Source organism: Homo sapiens, chromosome 4 (genome assembly GCF_000001405.40).
Source record: "Homo sapiens chromosome 4, GRCh38.p14 Primary Assembly".
NCBI lineage: Eukaryota > Metazoa > Chordata > Mammalia > Primates > Hominidae > Homo > Homo sapiens.
In genome coordinates this window covers 158,559,325-158,578,401 of record NC_000004.12, presented here as the reverse complement: position 1 = coordinate 158,578,401, position 19,077 = coordinate 158,559,325, and the positions used below count along the sequence as shown (strand labels likewise).

At 39.6% G+C, this 19,077-nt stretch overlaps 1 protein-coding gene and 1 long non-coding RNA gene across 25 annotated transcripts in view; one reads left to right on the top strand and one right to left on the bottom strand.

The window, feature by feature from the left end:
* The window catches only part of RXFP1 (relaxin family peptide receptor 1), a 131,659-nt gene that overhangs the window by 74,971 nt on the left and 37,611 nt on the right, over positions 1-19,077 (bottom strand). For 17 of the 24 annotated variants that reach the window (NR_045579.2, NR_045584.2, XM_011532179.3 and 14 more), the window contains one exon: positions 5,567-5,704. The exons of 1 other annotated variant lie outside the window; for it this stretch is intronic. Coding sequence is in view for 13 of the 23 variants with exons in the window: in XM_011532179.3 (XP_011530481.1) it covers positions 5,567-5,704 (138 nt within the window). In the remaining 10 variants the exon portion in view is untranslated. Of the gene's footprint in view, positions 1-5,513; positions 5,705-18,300; positions 18,402-19,077 lie in introns of those variants that run through there. 6 more of the 24 variants (NR_045582.2, NR_045581.2, NM_001253730.2 and 3 more) reach the window with 4 other exon arrangements.
* Positions 13,733-19,077, top strand: part of RXFP1-AS1 (RXFP1 antisense RNA 1) — a 75,659-nt gene continuing 70,314 nt past the window's right edge. Inside the window, exons 1-3 of the long non-coding RNA XR_007058351.1 lie at positions 13,733-13,961; positions 15,082-15,252; positions 17,443-17,801. This is a non-coding gene — a long non-coding RNA (RXFP1 antisense RNA 1). The remainder of the gene's footprint in view (positions 13,962-15,081; positions 15,253-17,442; positions 17,802-19,077) is intronic.

Genomic DNA, 19,077 nt, shown 5'->3' with positions numbered 1-19,077 from the left:
CATAGTTCTAGCTGAAAAACTGAAAGGTCCCTCCTTTTGGGTTTGTCATTGTCACATCAAACACTGCTCTGATGACTTAAAAAAATTTTTTTGGTCCTTATGCTGTTTGATTGTGTCTGTGACAGTTCTGAGCAGAGATGAAGAATGGTTTAGTGACACATGGCAAAAAAACAAATGGAATTATATGGGAATGATATAAAATTGCATAACTCAGGAAACATCTATACATTTCTATACTGAAGTTCACCAGTAAGGATCAAAGTTATTATAAAAATAGTGTAATCAGTTTTTGATATATGTATGTCTGTATACATGTAAATTCCATATTGTGTAAATATTTTAGAAAAAAGGATTCATATGAATTCAACTGAAAAATTTTAAATCTATTGATTTTGCTTGCATTGTGTTCACAAAAAATCTTCACTGAGTTAATGTCATGCTCTTTGTGCTGAAATATTTTATTTTTTATACTTAATAAAGTGTTTAATTACAGGGAAATTAATTATTTATGGGTTTTCTGAGAAAACTGGGACCTTAATATGTACTAAATAAGAGTACTTGTTTAAAGTGCCTGCGATAACACAAAAGTGACAGTTCTTTCTAAATATAATTAGTTCATGTATTAGTTCAAATATAGAGACTCAGTTTAATTCATTTGGTGTTTCATTTTTTTCAGCGATATCCCTAAATTTTATTTCTACAATTTCCATTTGACTTATTTTTCCATTTTAATAATTATTATTAGTGTCAAGGTTTAAATAGCTTGACAGAATAAGGGAGAGGTTTTTGGAGTTTAAGATATACCTTAAAAGGTCTAATTAAGAAAAAACTCTTTCATTAAAAGAAGGTATTTTATTTGACAATATACTATTAAGTTGTAAGTTATTACTCTAAAAATGATTTTTAATTATGGGGTTTTCTTATATTTGTATGTTAAGATATTGTATTTTACATGACGGAAAATATGCATGAGGTTTACATATTCTGAAAAGAAGCAACTTTCTGACTTAATTTAATTAGTATTAAACAGAATTTACATATGGATGTTTTAAAAATGAACAGCCGATCAGGTGCGGTGGGCTCATGCCTGTAATCCCAGCACTTTAGGAGGCCGAGGCTGGTGGATCATGAGGTCTGGAGATTGAGACCATCCTGGCTAACATGGTGAAACCCCATCAATACTAAAAATGCAAAAAATTAGCTGAGCATGGTAACACACACCTGTAGCCCCAGCTCTTGGGAGGCTGAAGCAGGAGAATCACTTGAATCCTGGAGGCAGAGGTTGCAGTGAGCTGAGATCACGCCACTGCACTCCAGCCTGGGTGACAGAATGAGACTGTCTCAAAAGAGAAAAAGAAGAAAGAAGAAGAAGAAGAAGAAGAAGAAGAAAAGAACAGCCTTGGGAGCATAAATGATCCAGATACTATAAAATGAAGGAAAAAACCACTCAGTTTGCAAGGGAAATTAAAGCAATTAGAGACAAACAGAAATAACTGCATCTCATAATTTTTCCATCACCTGGACTCTAAAGATGGTGATGAAATTCTGCCATCCTTCCTGGAAAGTTCCAGTCTATTTTTGCATGGACAGCAGCAGCATGCCAACTGGGCATCTTTGAGGTTTTGAACGGAATTAATTTTTTTTTTCTATTTCTAGATGACTGCCACTACTAGCATACCGGTTTTCCTAGAGGAGCTAAAAATTGTAGATAATTGATAATAATGGAGTTTGTGAGCAAGTTAGAATGCTTGTGTACCATATTGAAAACTTGATTCTAATGTATCTCTGCTGTTGCTACCATTTTGCATGCATTCCTGATTTTCTGCTCATTGGGTTTAGGTTCATGGTTCTCAAAACTTAGCGTGTATTAGAATGACACGAGGCTCATATTAAAACAGAGCTTTTGATTCAATAGGTCTGGGATGGAGCCTGAGAATTTTCATTTCTTTTTTTAAATTTTTATATAAATATTTTAAAATAATTATTTTTTCTTTTTTAAAAAATATTGAGACAGGTTTTTGCCATGTTGCCTAGGCTGATCTCCAACTCCTGGACTCAAGCAATCCTCCCACTTTGGCCTCTCAAAGTGCTGGGATTACAGGTGTGAGTCACTGGGCCTGGCCAAAATGTGTATTTCTAACAACTTCTTGGGTAATGTTGATGAATTTGGTCTCAGGACTACTTTTGGAGATCCAGTGGTCTAGGTGAATTTCAAGAAAGTTATGTGATTCTGGCATAAGAAGATCAGTAACAAATTGAAATAGTTATTTTTTACATAGACATGTCTTTATAAGAGTGAATTATGATCTTTCCCAGATATCCAAAACTGGACTTGAGAGGTTTCAAACGTTGGCAATGGTGAATTAAGGACACAGACAAGGTCCCAGGCATCATGGCATAGCTGATCCACAGATGACTGCAGGTGCTTGAGAAAATCCAGCTGAGACCAGAACTGCCTAGCTGATCTCAGTGGAGTCCATCCAAAATTGCTGACCCCAAGAATCATAAGCTAAATAAATGGTTACGTTTTAGGCCACTATGTTTGTAATATAATTACAGCTAACTGATAACACTAGGTAACATTTATTGAGTGCTAATTTCATGTCCTATTGTCTTAGGTCAAGTTACTATAACTAAGTATCATAGATTGGGTGGCTTAAACATAAACATTTATTTTTCATAGTTCTGGAGACTGGGAGGTCCAAGATCAAGGTGCTGGTGGAGTCATGTCTAGTGATGGCCCACTTTCTGGTTCACAGACAGCAGTATTCTTGCTGTTTCCTTACATGGTGGAGAGATGAAGCAAGCTCCCTTAGGACTCATAAGGATGCTAATCCACTCTTATGACCTCACGTATTCCTAATTACATCCCCCAAATCCCATCTCCAAATCCTATCACACTGGGGGATAGGGCTTCAACATATAAACTTTATGGGGGACACAAGCATTCAGTCCAAAGCACCTGTACTCTGCTAAGCATCTCGGATACATTATCTCATGGAATCCTGTTAACAACCCATGAACATGGATACTCTTATTATTCCTGTTTTATAGAAAAGAAAACAAGCCATTTTTTGCCTCCCTTTATAGCTAGAGTTTAACTCTGATTTCTAAACTTCTCTCTGAAACCCCAATGCCCTATTGCCTCTGTCTAAATGTGCTTTTTGGTGAATCCTGAGAAACTTGCATGATTTTAAGGATTATTACTGTAAGGATTGCTACTTTTGCTACTTGGCCTCTTTAAACTTAGCACTAAAGCTAGAGTTCCCAAGCTTTTTTTCCACTGAGAAGCTACATTTGCTGGTAAATTTGCTACTCCCACCACGTTCCTTTCCTGCTTCCAGCTGCCATTTTAATTGGAGTGAAGTTTTCCTGTTGCTCTGTCTAGAACTCTCTATTTGAACTGCCAGCAGGTCGACGGGGAACTGACTAGCAGTGGGCAAAACACTGTTTCATCTAATTAAAAAATTATGTAATATTAATTTATTTTAACAAGACGTTGTTTTTTTTAAATAAATGAAAACGTATTTATAGCCATCCAAATCAAATACAATTGCAGCTTAAGCTCACTAGTTTAGATAGTGTGGTTATACTTGAGTTACTGCCATCACATAGAAATAGTGTTTCAAACTAAGAAGTGGCAAAAATAAAATCAGATCAAGTTATAAAAATTTAAAAGTTTATTATCATACAGTAAGAGAAAGTACAGCTCGATATCAGGGAGATTTCAGCCCAGGCAGTAAGAAAGCTCAGAGGCATGTATTATAGGATTGCTCATAAAGTGAAAATGAGGAATTTCTTCAACCTTTTCCATGACTGGTTATTACAACGGGGTTTCCAGGTGATAGCGGACTGGTTAAAAGTGATTTACCTTATACCACTTTAGAAAGACAATTTAAGTTTTGTTTGTGATTATCAGAGGCATTTACAAGAAACAACCTAAGTTTCAGTTACATTCAAGAAATTAGCTCAGTTAAGGTCTGCTTGTGTGACCTAGCTGATTTTTTTCAAGTAGGAGGATTTTCAAGCCAGGTGTTCATCTTATTTTATGTTAACGGAAACTTAATTCCTTCAAGGTGGTTTCTTAAAAAGCCTGAAATACTTGGGGGAGTGATCACAGCAAGGCCTCATTAGCATATATTATTTATGTGACACTTTGCATAATAGCATTGTTATGCATCTTTTAGTCCTCCCAAAATAGTACCTTATTTCTTGACAGGTGAGAAATCTTACTACTTTACATTATTAACCGAAGTTTATTTTCCCAGTGACTCAGATCCAAACAATTCAGGTTCTAACTTTGTATTTTCAAGGCTTCAGAAGTTTGAACAAAATTCTAACTGAAAGCTATTTTCCCATATTCAAATTGGCCAGAAGCCCTACTTACTGGCTTTATAAATCCAGAGGTATGGTTGTTGGTTAAGTAGGAAGTAAGTTGTATTTACATATTGTTTGTTTTGTCTCTTTTAGAAGAACTCACTTTTCGTCCCAAAAGATAAGAAAGGGCAACAGCATCCAACACCTGGACAGCACCTCCTAGATGTCCAGTACTCTTCTAATTCTGTACCCTTAATCTTCCTGAATTCTTAGAGTATAGGCACAATTACCATGCCCTTTTATGAAATGAGGAAACTGAGGTACAGAGAGGCTAGGAAATGTTCTCAAGCTTACATAATTGCTTATCGTCATACCCAGGTTCAAACTTGGGCAGTCTGGCTCCAGAGCCCGTATTCTCAATTTCAACCGTATTCTGCCTCTAACACCTTACTTGGGCAGGTTTGTTGGGTTAAAACAAGGGTGTCCAGTCTTTGGGCTTCCCTGGACCACATTGGAAGAAGAGTTGTCTTGGGCCACACATAAAATACACTTACATTAATGATAGCTGATGAGCTTAAAAAAAAAATCACAAAAAAAATCTAATGCTTTCAAAATCCTTATGAATTTGTGTTGGGCTGCGTTCAAAGCCATCCCGGGCCGCATGCAGCCTGCAGGCTGCGGGTTGGACAATCTTGGTTAAAACTTACTCTGTGAGCAACCACCACTCGCCTGGAATATTGGCTGTGATACCATTACATGGAAACGAGTGGATATTAAGGGTGGGCACGGTGGCTCATGCCTGTAATCCCGGCACTATGGGAGGAAGAGGTGGGTGGATCACGAGGTTAGGAGATTGAGACCATCCTGGCTAACACGGTGAAACCCTGTCTTTACTAAAAATACAAAAAATTAGCCGGGCGTGATGGTGGGCACCTGTAGTCCCAGCTACTCGGGAGGCTGAGGCAGGAGAATCACTTGAACCCAGGAGGCAGAGGTTGCAGTGAGCCGAGATCACGCCACTGCACTCCAGACTGGCAACAGAGCGAGACTCCGTCTCAAAAAAAAACAAAAACAAGAAAAGAAAAGAGTGGATATTTTAAGCTACTGAAATAAGTGTAAGATTTCCTTAAGCAACATATGTTTTGTATTTCAATTTAGTTTTGTCTTTTTGTTGAGAGAAGTCTCAGCGACTTCACCTTCAGTCCTTTCTGCTCCTTTCTCTCACCGTGACTGCAGGGGCTTCACTCACCACAGTTGTCCTCATCGGCCTGATTCCCGCAGTCGTCCACACCGTTACAGTGCAGGAGCTGAGGCAAGCACTTTGTGATGTTCCCACAGGGGAAATAGCCAAGGGAGCACTTGACATCCTGTCCACCCCCATGAGAAACTGAGGAAAAGGGGAGAAGACACAAAGTTTGAAGGTGGTTAATACAAAGGCGTGGCAAAGAGCAGTTTCTCCCTGATATTTTATAATCATTTGTCTTTCTCATCATGGTTTCTACATACAACCCTGATGCCAGTTATTTTCTAGGAACCTTCACCTCTTAGGACGTTCTTTCCATGATTCCAGAAGATGCCAACATTTTCCTCTTTGCCTTTGTTCATGCTGTTTCCCACCCGGAGTGCCTCTCCATTCCTCTCTTCTATGAAACGTCTGCCCATACTTCACAGTTCAATCCAATTACCGTCTTCTACAAACAATTTTCAGCCAATAATTTTAAAAACAGGAATTTGTTGTATTCTTACTATGGGCTCAGAATCAAGGCTGGTCTGGTATTGAAACGACTTCATTGTCTGTGGAAAACCTGTGGTTCATTGTCTCACCCTGAGATGATTAAGTACACGGGCACACACGTGGAGTAGGTTAAGGAGAGGAAAGTTTAATAGACAAAAAAGAAGAGAGAAAAAGTTTCCTCATGATGAGAAAGCCGGTGGCCCAAGAGAGGGTTTCCGGGTTTTGGGGCAGAACACGATTGATTTTGTACAGAGGCTTGAGGAGGCGGTGATTGATTTACATAGAGCCCAGGGGATTGGTTTCACCAGGTGTGTCATTTACATAGCCTGCAAAAAGACCTAAAAGACTGGCCCTCCCACCCTAATCTTTTATTATGCAAATGTGGCTTCTACCTGGCTGTCACCCTGACACCTGCACACATGGCTTTACCTGGCCAGTGCTGTGATACCCACACACATGGTGATAAGGAAAAGGGAGCGGGAATCGCCACATTGAATGTATCTGGCTTCCAGGTACAGCTGCTGACATTTACATACGAAAGCTTCCAGCTTGCATATCTGTGCTTGCAGCTTGACTTTTCAGGCTGCTTCTGTTAGAAAAGAAATGGTTTGGGGCTGCTTTTTATTAAAGGAAAATTCCACCGAGGACTGTTTTACCATTTCTTATTTTTTTTTCTTTTTTCTTTTTGAGACAGAGTTTCACTCTTGTCGCCCAGGCTGGAGTGCCACGGCACAATCTTGGCTCACTGCAACCTCCGCCTCCCAGGTTCAAGTGATTCTTCTGCCTCAGCCTCCTGAGTAGCTGAGATTACAGGCATGCACCACCACGCCTAATTTTATATTTTCAGTAGAGACGAGGTTTTACCATGTTGGTCAGGCTGGTCTTGAACTCCTGACCTCAGGTGATCCGCCCATCTCGGCCTCCCAAAGTGCTGGGATTACAAGTGTGAGCCACCGCGCCCAGCCTCTTTTACCCTAACTGCCTAAAATAATTTCTTAATAACTCCTGTATTAGTATTGGAGAAACAAGAAGACATAGAGGATAACAGGAAAGCAGGTGCCATGTGATCATTTCTATATTGGATAGTTGCTAAGTGTAAGGCCCTGTGCAAGATTTTATGCATGCATCATTGAATGAAACAGAGTTCCTGCCCTAGGGGAGGTTACCATCTCCCAGGGAGGATACATTGAACAAGTTAATAAATATTTACAATTTATGGAGAGGTCCAAAAAGAAAGAAAACAGGTGATGTAATGGAAAATAACTGTGTGCTGGTGCTTTGTACAAGGGGTAGTTAGAGGGAGGCCGCTGTAAAATGGTGTCATTTAAGCTGAGATCTGGAGGAAGAAAAGGAAATCACCCATGAGAGTAGGGGAGGTAGGAGTGGGGAAGTGGTGGTGGTAGTTAAAGTGGTGAGGAAGAGGCTTCAGGCTGAGGATTACGGAACTCTGGGAGGGTTGTGGTGATGGAGCCCAGTGAGCAGGGACAAGTGACATGAGCTGAGGTTGATGAGGTAGAGAAGTATCCTTGGGCAAAGGGAAGAAGTTTGGGTTTTATTTAAAATGCAAAGGGGAATCAATGAAGAATTTGAAGCCAAGGGGCCAATTAGGAAACAGGTATGTTTTGGTCATATAATTCTGGCTACTGGGATGGAGTGCCATTGGGTAGGAGACTTGAGGGGAGGGTAGGAGGGAAAGCTGGGCTGCTGATTAGGAAACTTTGCAGTGCTCCAGGTAATAGACAAATGAGGCTTAGTCTAGAATGGCGCCAGTGGAGAGGAGAGAAGTGAACATATTTGACATGTAATTTAGGGGTAGAATGGAAATGGACAGAATGTTCTGAATTGGCTTGACCAGCTGGAAGCATGGCAGTGCCACCACTGAGACTCTCTGGGGGAAAGGTAGGGTGCAAGAATAAAGATAGCTCATTTGCCTTCATTTCCATCCTTACCCAAGAGCTTCACCATGTGAGTTTTCTAACTCAGCTCAATACTTTCTCACTCACTTCAACACTTTCAAACTCCATCTTCAATCCAGAAGTCCCATTCTGGTTTTTTATACCTTCCCCGATTCCTGGAACTCCTTCTCCATCACTACCATTCCCCCTCGTCACTATCACTTCCTCCTGAAATTTGGGCTCCAGCCTTGTTGGAATTCCTGACTCAGACTTTATTGGCTTGCATCTAGGTGAGATTCTAATCCTATTAGATAAATATTCTTTTACTTCCTTTTTTGAAGAAAAATTAGTCATTATTTGCAATTGCGTTTCTAGGAAAGAATGTTTGAGTGTCCAAGCTAATTTAAATATTAAAGTTTTGAAATATTATCTGATTTGCTATATTTATACCCCTACAAATAAACATTTAATAGAATGAAGAGCACTATAAGAACTTTAAAACTATCAATACTTCAAAAAGCAGTCCACTTTAACCTCTTTGCACCAGACACACTCATCTACACTAACAATCAATTAATTAAATTTCATCACATATTGGTTGTCCAATTGTTTCGAATGCTTTAATCTTATCCCCACCCCCCACCAACAAAAAAGAACACTCATTGTAAACAAAGCCCTTGTCGTTATTTGTTTGTATCTCTGGTTAGGGATGCTGAAAATTACTTGTTGAATAGTAAAATTAGAGGAGACAAACTTAAGGAGTAAAAATTGTTCCATAAACAATTGAAAGGTATGAATATTTGATAACGTTTCACATAACCATCCTATTCTGACTTTGAAGGGCAACAATGCCATTTTAAAAAGTAGACCTTATTTTTTATAGCTATTAGGTTCACAGCAAAATAGAGCAAAAGGTACAGAGAGTGCCCATATAGTCCCTGCCTCCTCCACCATCAACACTCTCCCCAGTCCAGAGTGGTGCATTTGTTGCAGTTGATGAACCTACACTGACACATCATTGTCAGTCAAAGTCCGTAGTTTACATTGGAGTTCACTGTTGATGTTATACATTCTATGGGTTTGGACAAATGTATAATGACACGTATCCACCATTATAGTATAATACAGAGTAGTTTCACTGCCCTAAAAGTCCTCTGGTAACCACTGAACATTTTACTATCTCCATAGTTCTTCTTTTTCCAGAATGTTATGTCATTGGAATCATGCAGTAGGTAGCCTTTTCAAACTGGCTTCTCACACTTACTAATATATATTTATCCACTCACTTACTGAAAGACATCTTGGTTGCTTCTAAGTTTTGGCAATTACGAACAAGCTGCTATAAACACCTGTGTGCAGGTTTTTGTGTTGGCCACATATTAACTATAACACTTTAAAATCTGAGATTCATATAATTTCAAAGATATCTGTAGACTCCCAGTACAGTTATGCTCCCATTATCCTTACCAAGTTTGTAAATCTTTGGAACTTTCTAGAATACTTATAATTATGAAGAAATAAGAACAGAATAGTTTGAATAATCATTAAAAGCTTATTATGTAAAAATGTATTTGGGGTCAATGATCAAAGCATGAAAAAATAAAAGTGACTACTTCCTTTGTGAAGTATAGCGGGACTTCTTAATAACAGGGCAATTAACATTCTCATAGAGAGAAGCAATCCATGTATGAAAGGCTTTGTACGTAGTCATTTCAGAGCACATAGTTTGATGAAGGACATAGTCAAATGTATATAATAATGAGCTGTGCTACAAATAATGTTCTCACTTGTGAAATTATTCAAAATTAATCTTTTTTCAACCAATTGTTTAAAACAAAGTAAAAAAAAAGGCCATCACTGGCAGAACATCACGTATTTCAGAGATCTCAAGCATACAAATAAACCAATCTGTGTTGAGACTAACTTTTTATATCTTTATTAATTTTTTAAGAACACTTTAAACACCAAGATTTTAAGAAAAATTCTTTAATGAATTAGCCTCCAGCTACAGCTACTTTGAAGATGTTTTAACTGGCCATACCTGCCTGTGTTTTCATGCAGCTCTTTTGAATATTCTTCTCCACATAACTTTTCTGAATATTATCTTTTTATGTCCAGTCTTTAAAATTTATATTTAGTGGCAGATATAGCTCCTCAATGATTGTATTGTGTCCGGAATTGGTGGGTTCTTGGTCTCACTGACTTCAACAATGAAGCCGCAGACCCTCGCGTTGAGTGTTAACAGTTCTTAGAAGCAGCGAGTCTAGAGTTCTGATGTTCGGATTTGTTTGGAGTTTCTTCCTTCTGGTGGGTTCGTGGTCTCACTGGCTCAGGAGTGAAGCTGAAGGCCTTTGTGGTGAGTATTACAGCTCATAAAGGCAGTGTGTTCGGAGTTGTTCATTCCTCCCAGTGGGTTCGTGGTCTTGATGGCTTCAGGAGTGAAGCTTTATACCTTAGAGGTGAGTGTTACATCTCATAAAAGCAGTGTGAATCCAAAGCGTGAGCAGCTGCAAGATTTATTGCAACGAGCAAAAGAACAAAGCCACCACAAGCTGGAAGGAGACCCGAGCGGGTTGCCACTGCTGACTTGGGCAGCCTGCTTTTATTCCCTTATCTGGCCCCACCCACATCCTGCTGATTGGTCCGTTTTACAGAGAGCCGATTGGTCTGTTTTACAGAGAGCTGATTGGTCTGTTTTGACAGGGTGCTGATTGGTGTGTTTACAATCCCTGAGCTAGACACAAAAGTTCTCCACGTCCCCACTAGATTAGCTAGATACAGAGTACCAATTGGTGTATTTACAAACCCTGAGCTAGACACAGAGTGCTGATTGGTGCATTCACAAACCTTGAGCTAGATACAGAGTGCCGATCGGTGCATTCACAATCCCTTAGCTAGACATAAAGGTTCTCCAAGTCCCCACCAGATTAACTAGATATGGAGTGCTGATTGGTGCATTCACAAACCCTGAGCTAGACACAGGGTGCTGATTGGTGTGTTTACAAACCTTGAGCTAGATACAGAGTGCTGATTGGTGTATTTACAATCCCTTAGCTAGACATAAAGATTCTCCAAGTGCCCACCAGACTCAGGAGCCCAGCTGGCTTCACTCAGTGGATCGCTCACAGGGGCTGCAGGTGGAGCTGCCTGCCAGTCCCGGCCGTGCGCCCACACTTCTCAACCCTAGGGCAGTCAATGGGACTGGGTGCCCTGGAGCAGGGGGCCATGGTCGTCGGGGAGGCTCCGGCTGTGCAGGAGCCCAAGGCGGGGTGAGAGGGAGGCTCAGGCATGGTAGGCTGCAGGTCCCGAGCCCTGCCAAGCGGGGAGGCAGCTAAGGCCCCACGAGAAATCCAGCACAGCAGCTGCTGGCCCAGGTGCTAAGCCCCTCACTACCCCTGACTGGCGGGCCGGCCGGCCACTCCGAGTGCTGGCCACAGAGCCCATGCCCACCCGGAACTGGCGCTGGCCTGCAAGCGCTGCACGCAGCCCTGGTTCCTGCCTGCCCCTCTCCCTCCACACCTCCCCGCAAGCTGAGGGAGCCGGCTCTGGCCTTGGCCAGCCCAGAAAGGGGCTCCCACAGTGCAGCGGTGGGCTGAAGGGCTCCTCAAGCCCGGCCAGAATGGGCGCCAAGGCGAGGGGGTGCCGAGAGCGAGCGAGGGCTGCAAGGGCTGCCAGCACGCTGTCACCTCTCGGTATCATGAAATTAGTTCTACATTTTCATAACATTATGATTCAACAGCTATATCAGGAATCTTAAATATTTTAAAGTGATATTTTAAAAGTAACTTTTGGGCCGGGTGTGGTGGCTTATGCCTGTAATCCCAGCACTTTGGGAGGTTGAGGTGGGCAGATATCTGAGGTCAGGAGTTGGAGACCAGCCTGGCCAACGTGGTGAAACCTCATCTCTACTAAAAATGCAAAAGGTTAGCTGGGTGTGATGGCGGGCGCCTGTAATCCCAGCTACTCGGGAGGCTGAGGCAGGAGAATCACTTGAACCCTGAAGGTGGAGGTTGCAGTGAGCCGAGATTGCACCACTGCACTCCAGCCTCGGCAACAAGAGCGAAACTCTCAAAAAAAAAATTTTGAGATAATTTTAAAATTTTGAGATAATCTCAAACTGAGAAGTTGCAAGTATTGGATAAAGAACATTTCCCCACCACCCCACCATTTGAAAGTAAGTTTTTGACCTGATGCTCTAGCACCCTTAAATACTTTAGTATTTCCTACAAACAAGAATATTTTCCTATGTAAATAGAACCATTAAAATCAGGAATTTAACATGGAGTTGTTACTACCACTTAAACCTCAGAACCCATTAAAGTTTATATATTGCCCCTGCAAAATGTCCTTTGTAGTAAAAGGATCTGGTTTGGAATCGCTCCTTGCATTTAATTGTCACATTTCTTTAGCCTCTTTTCATTTTCATGGCCTTGACCCTTGAAAAATGCAAGTCAATTATTTTGTAGAATGTTCCTGAATTTGGGTTGTCTGATGTCCATCATAATTAGATTCAGGTTATGCATCTTTGGCATAAAATTCACACAAGTGATGCTCATTTCAACCTGTCAGGTAGTACAAGATATTAATTTTTTCCATTAGTGGTTTCACCCAAATTCCTTTGTAATTAATACATATTTTGTAGAGGGGTACTTTGAAACTGCAAAAGTCCCTTTCCTCATCAAAGTGTTAATTTATTCATTTACTTATTTCTATCAGGTAGACTTATGGCTTCCTATTTTGTTCAATGGGTTACAATCTGTTGATTATTATTATGTATTCTGATGTGCAAGTTGTCTCAAATTGGACCAGTAGGAACTCTTTTAACCTAGCTTTGGTGTCTTTGTAATATTTATGCATCATTTTTTGAGCACTCTTCCTTGCTTTCTGGCACTACAAGATGTTTCAGGATCATCTTGCATTTTCCCTGCTATAGCCCTGTAACTAGCCATTTCTCTAAGGAGCTCTGGGTCCTCTCTGGGTAGAATGGTATTTAGAAGCCAAGATGTAGACACAAGGTAAGCTCACTGATAGTGGAGTATCACTGCCACCAGGTCTCTCAGTGGACAGACTAGGAAATATATGTATGGTTATTCATACATACACACATTTCCATCTGTATTAATTTCTCTGTATATTTCTAATACTGAAAACTATGAGTTCATCTCCAGTTCTTATCCAACACTACAGGCTCAGTCTAATTTTCTCCCTTTACATATCTGTTACTCCCTTTCCTGACAGTGAGAGAAGCTTGCTTTCTATTAACTTAATATATTTATTATCTTGACAGATCCTCTTTCCTGCATGGATGCTCTCCTCGCCTTACTCAGTGCAGACTCTCACTTACATGAGCACTCTCCCCACCCTGTTTAGGACCAGGCACCAGCCCCCTCTAAGGATGCCCTTCTCACCCCAGTGGAACTCCGAAATTCTTCTCTGGACCACTACTCTGTCACACTCAACACAGAAAAATACCTCCTTCTGATCCACCAAATGGCTTTAGAACTCAATTGTTTAGGAACAGAAGTAGAAAGGCAAGGGGCCAGTAAGTGATGTTTATAGGGAAACGTTGGGAAAGTAAAAAACAAAAAGCATTTCCTTTTTAGCATGGAACCATATCTTTAAGAACAGCAATAATTCACAGTGCAATAACACAAATCAATAGAAAAAATGATATTGAGTCCCTCTGGAAAAGTATGCCCAAAGAGTTACAGAAGTAATAGTTCCTAGAAGAGCAAGTAAACATGCTCTCGTTGTGTAACCCAGCTATCCATCTGCCCTGAATGCTGTTTTAGTCCTGAACCAGCCTAAATATTTCAGTGGTTCACAATTTTTTTTAAGTGGTTGACAATTTTGAGAGGGTGAGAGACAACAGAGTTTATATTTCAGTACAAATTATCTTAACTATCCTCTTTAGACTGACAGTTGTCATGGAGTCTCTCTGGCTTGGAGGATGAAAAGGATTCAGCTTTTCCAGCACTGAGTTTCCAGCCTCCCTGGCTGCCACTGTTCTCAAGGTTTGGATCTGCCCTCAGCTCCTGTATCTTTTATTTATTTCTCATGCAGAGTAATTTAGTCTTCTTCCAAATATTTGTATAACCACAGGTAGGTGTTTAGATCTGCTTATAAGACAGTAGGGATTGTATATAACAATTTAAAAATGTCCCCCACCCCTGTACCCTGGTAGCTTTTCCAAAATATCTCTACATGTGGAACTGTCAGGATATGGGGTAAAATATGAAAACATATTGTTATGGGAATGTGAACGATCACCAGTTGCATTGAATAGGGTCCTTCAGGTATGGCTGGAATGCCAACTTTTGAATAGTTTAGTGTTGGAATTGTCATATTTATGACTCCTAAAGGCTGTAAATTGGGTAGCCCAATAACAAAATTTCTAAGATCAGACCTTACATTAAGTTTTTTTTAAAGTAATTGTGCTTTTATAATGTTATAACAGTATATAATTATGTTTTATATATACATATGTTATATATTATAACATTTATATATAACATGTTATACATTATATATTATGTTATGTTATATATATAATATGTTATATAATATGTAACATTATATTATATATAACATTATATAATATAATGTTATAACATTATAATGTTATAATGGCTACAATGTCACTAGGTGATAGGAATTTTTTGGCTCCATTGTAATCTTATGGGATCGCTGTCATATACAGGGTCTGTTCCATTGCTAACTGAAATGTTTTATGAGTATATGTTACAACTCTGTAAGTTGTAGAATACTTATAGTAACGCAAATGATTTATTGTTGATAGAAATGCAGATTATATGTGACAGATAGATGCAGATTGTGAGATACATTGATTATTGCCCCATAGATTATTGGTCTCTTTTGCATGTGTTAATCAGATTTATTTCAGTATTCCTGTTGGGGTGTGTGTGTGTGTGTGTGTGTGTGTGTGTGTGTGTGTGTGCATTGAATTCTCCTTTGAATTATTTGTAACATCTTACTGGTTCCCTCATTAGTAAATGAATTAAAGTCTTTGAGGTCTTTGAGACATTTTTATTTTATATTTATATGAATATCATGATTTTACCTCATCTTCCTTCTCCTTTCACTTCTACTTCTTTTTAAATTATCTTTTAACAGGTGTGGGGACCCACTCAGAACCCCAGAGTTGGTACAAAGATCATTTTAAGGTGAAGACATTTGAGAATCAACAGATGCCAGATGCAGAAAGAAGCTTTCTCAGAGTTTCCCTTATCTGACTAAAATCTGAAACTTCTGGGAAATAATCCTTCCCTAAATTCCCTCTTTTGGGTGAGTCTACTCCCAGGAAAGAGACTGACAGTAAACCTGTCATAAATCCCTTCCCTGGGGAAACTCATATCCTTAAAGGATGGATAGGCTACATGCGCCTGCATAAAGAAACATCATCACAAACTTTATCTCCTGTTTTTTCTTCTAAAAATCCCCTTGTCCTTCCTAAAGAAATGATTTTCTTCCCATGGAAGGCTTTTCTTCCTCTCCCTTTCCCCTACTTAGGAATATTAGCCTCTAACTTTAACTGTTTGGCAAGCTAGCTATTACTTTAGTTAGCTGCCATATGCATACAAATCAGCCTCTTGTTGGTTTAATTTGCAGGTTCCCAGTCCTTGAGCATAAGGGCAAAGAAAAAGTGTTTCCTCTGGGAAACTTGAACACAGGGGATGTGTACTTTAAGATCAACTGCCCCGGATGGGTGTGCACTCGGGGTTCCTTTAACAAAAGCTTCAGGTGGAATCATCCCAGTTATAGGAAACTCAAGATATATATCCTGGTAAAAAAAATTGTTGGCTCAAAAGTAACCTCAGCTTGTTTGAGATGAAACTCTTGTTGATCTGTTATGATAAAATTCTCCCCTTAATAAATATGTGTATTTTTTTTTTTTTTTTTTTTTTTTTTTTGAGACGGAGTCTCGCTCTGTCGCCCAGGCTGGAGTGCAGTGGCGGGATCTCGGCTCACTGCAAGCTCCGCCTCCCGGGTTCACGCCATTCTCCTGCCTCAGCCTCCCAAGTAGCTGGGACTACAGGCGCCCGCCACTACGCCCGGCTAATTTTTTGTATTTTTAGTAGAGACGGGGTTTCACCGTTTTAGCCGGGATGGTCTCGATCTCCTGACCTCGTGATCCGCCCGCCTCGGCCTCCCAAAGTGAAATATGTGTATTTTAAACTGTGATAAATTTTAGAATATAGAGACAATAAAATTAATCAAATGTATAGTGTTGGCATTATATTTTAATGTGAGAATAACCCGTGTTTATTGGGGGGTTGGAGTGTTTTTTATGATTAAGAGAATTAGGCAATTAAGGAATAACAGATGAACCTACTAATTTCAACTTAAAACAGGCAATTAAGTTCAAACTTGTGATTTTACGTTGTAAGAGAATTTAAGTGTATAAGCAGCACTGGACTATTTAAGGTAACTTGACATTTACTATATTTAAAATACGTTTTATTGGATTTTCTAAAGTTTTTAAGCATGCATTTAAAATACAGGTTGAGGCCGGGTGCAGTGGCTCACACCTGTAATCCCAGCACTTTGGGAGGCCGATGTGGGCAGATCACTTGAGGTCAGGAGTTCTAGACCAGCCTGGCCAACATGGTGAAACCCTGTCCCTACTAATAATACAAAAATTAGCCGAGCATGGTAGCACACGCCTGTAATCCTGGCTACTCAGGAGACTGATGCACAAGAATCACTTGAACCCGGGAGGTGGAGGTTGCAGTCAGACGAGATCACACCACTGCACTCCAGCCTGGGTGACAGAGTGAGACTCTGTCTCAAAAAAAAAAAAAAAAAAAGAAAAAAAGAAAAAAATACAGATTGTGTATTTCTTATTCAAAATGCTTGGAAACATAAGAGTTTTAGATTTCAGATTTTTTCAGATTTTGGAATATTTGCAAATGCATTCTCAGATATTTTGGAAAATGAAATCCAAATCTAAACACAAAATTTATTTGTTTCATATATACTTTATACACATGGCCTGATAGTAAGTTTATACAATATTAAAATGATTTTATGCATGAAACAATTTTGACTGCATTTTGGCTGCAACCAATTACATTAGGTCAGGTGTGGAATTTTCCACTGTGGCATCTTGTGAGTGCTCAAGAAGTTTCAGAGTTTGAAACATTTCGGATTTCAAAATTTCAGATTAGGGATAATCCACTTGTATTTCAAATAAAATTAATCATTACATTTAAGATGCTGTTTAAAACAGTTCATTATTCTTTGTCTTGAATGAGACTGGTTAAGTTCAATTTTTTCAACTTGAGTTAAACATTTATAAACTAAAAAGTGAAGGAGATTGGTTTTATTTTACAAGATTTATAAGTAGAAAATAGGTTTGTAAATTGAAGTTAAAGGCTGAAGGCAAACACGGTTTTTGAATTTGTTACTATAATAAATGCATTATTAATTTTAAACCCAAGTATAATAAACACTGTTCGTTTGTTGATTCAACAGTGATTCCCAAAACCCTTCTCTCTTGCTGCCCTTCCGTTAAAGAAGTTGGAAAGCAAAATACTTTCTTTCCCAGCTGGCCGGCTTCTTGGTGTCTAAGGGGCACAGTTCCGACCAGTGAGACGTGGGCAGACATCTGCTGAGGAAGTCCTGGAGGTGCTAGCTTTCTTGACACAAGAGATGGATGGGGCTGTTGTCTTCCACTTTCTTTCTGCCTTGAACATGATGGGATGATCGTGTGAAACTGCAGCAACAGTTTTGCATCTATGAGGCAACACACGTGCTGGCAAGACCAAGGAAACCCACAGATACCTACAAAATGCCAACCCGGGAATCATCAGGCTACTCAGACTCCTCTTTAGGTGAGAAAAATAAACGCTTCTTTGTTTAGGCCATGCCGGGTCAGGTTTTCTTTTGTTGCAAGAAAGTGAATTCCTAACTGATACATCGAGAAACTCCGAAGTGTCCTTTCTGCAGAGTCATTCCAGACATGAAAAAGCTCATGTTGGCAATTTACTTGAAAGGGTGATTGAAGGAGTAAGTGAAAGACTGATGGGGCATGTAGGGACAGCAATAGAAGGAGTCCATGCTATCTGAGCCTCAGGTGTGAACTGCCATACAAATGCCTTCAGGCTTGGTGGGATGAGTGGTCCCTGTTGGGCTGATTGGGAAAAAAATCATCCCTGAGCTATCAAATCTTTCTCTGGGACTCAGTCTACTGGAAGCCCCAAGAGAAATGTCTGGGAAGTAAAAAGATGGCTTACGGTGTGGAGATATTGTTGGGACTGATATGTAGACAATACTTTATGTGATGTGCTCAGTGTAATAGGATGGTCTCAGGCAGCCTGCCAGCTTCATTACCTGCAGCTACCTGGGTTAGTCACATCCATGCAGCTGAAGGAGAAAAAGCCAGAGGAAAGCTTTCCATCCTTTTTCTTCCTGCAGACATTATGTAAACTTTCCTGGAATAGGAGAATAGAAGTTGTCTTTACTCTTTGGGAAAGAAGTCCTTACTGAGTAAAATAACTTGTAAACATTTTATAACTTGGTGTTACATGAATGTATATTCATAGTTCTGATGTTTCTCTGACCTAAGGTTAAATAGTTTGATTTCACCTATCAAGCTTATGGAAATTCACTAATATCAGTGCAACAGTCAGAAGTACTTAACAGAAAAATTATTGTAGAATTGTGTAAAGATACCAATTTGCCATTGAAAAGACAACTGCAATTCTATGAAGAATTTCTACCTTCCTAGTTTGCGTGATACCATCTTGTGCTTCACATTAAAGTAGAAAAAAGTGGCTTTTTTGTCGTAAATACATCAACCATAAAATTATAACTCACGGATGCTTGTCTTAATATTGGATAAGTAATAGGTATATGAAAAAATTTTTTAAATCACATCTATTCCTGGTATAGGGGAAAAAAGCTCAGTATTGGGAATCAATGCAGCGGGGCAGGGGGGTCTAGCCTTTATTTGTCACCTTTCTAGATCTGTGACCTTCAGTAAATTTTTTGAGCTTAAGTTTCATCATCTGGAAAATAAGTGGTTACATTCATCTAATGGTATTAAACATGGTTGAATAAAATTAGGGTTTCAGGAAGGTACATCAGTTTTTGCAAGTCTTTGACTAG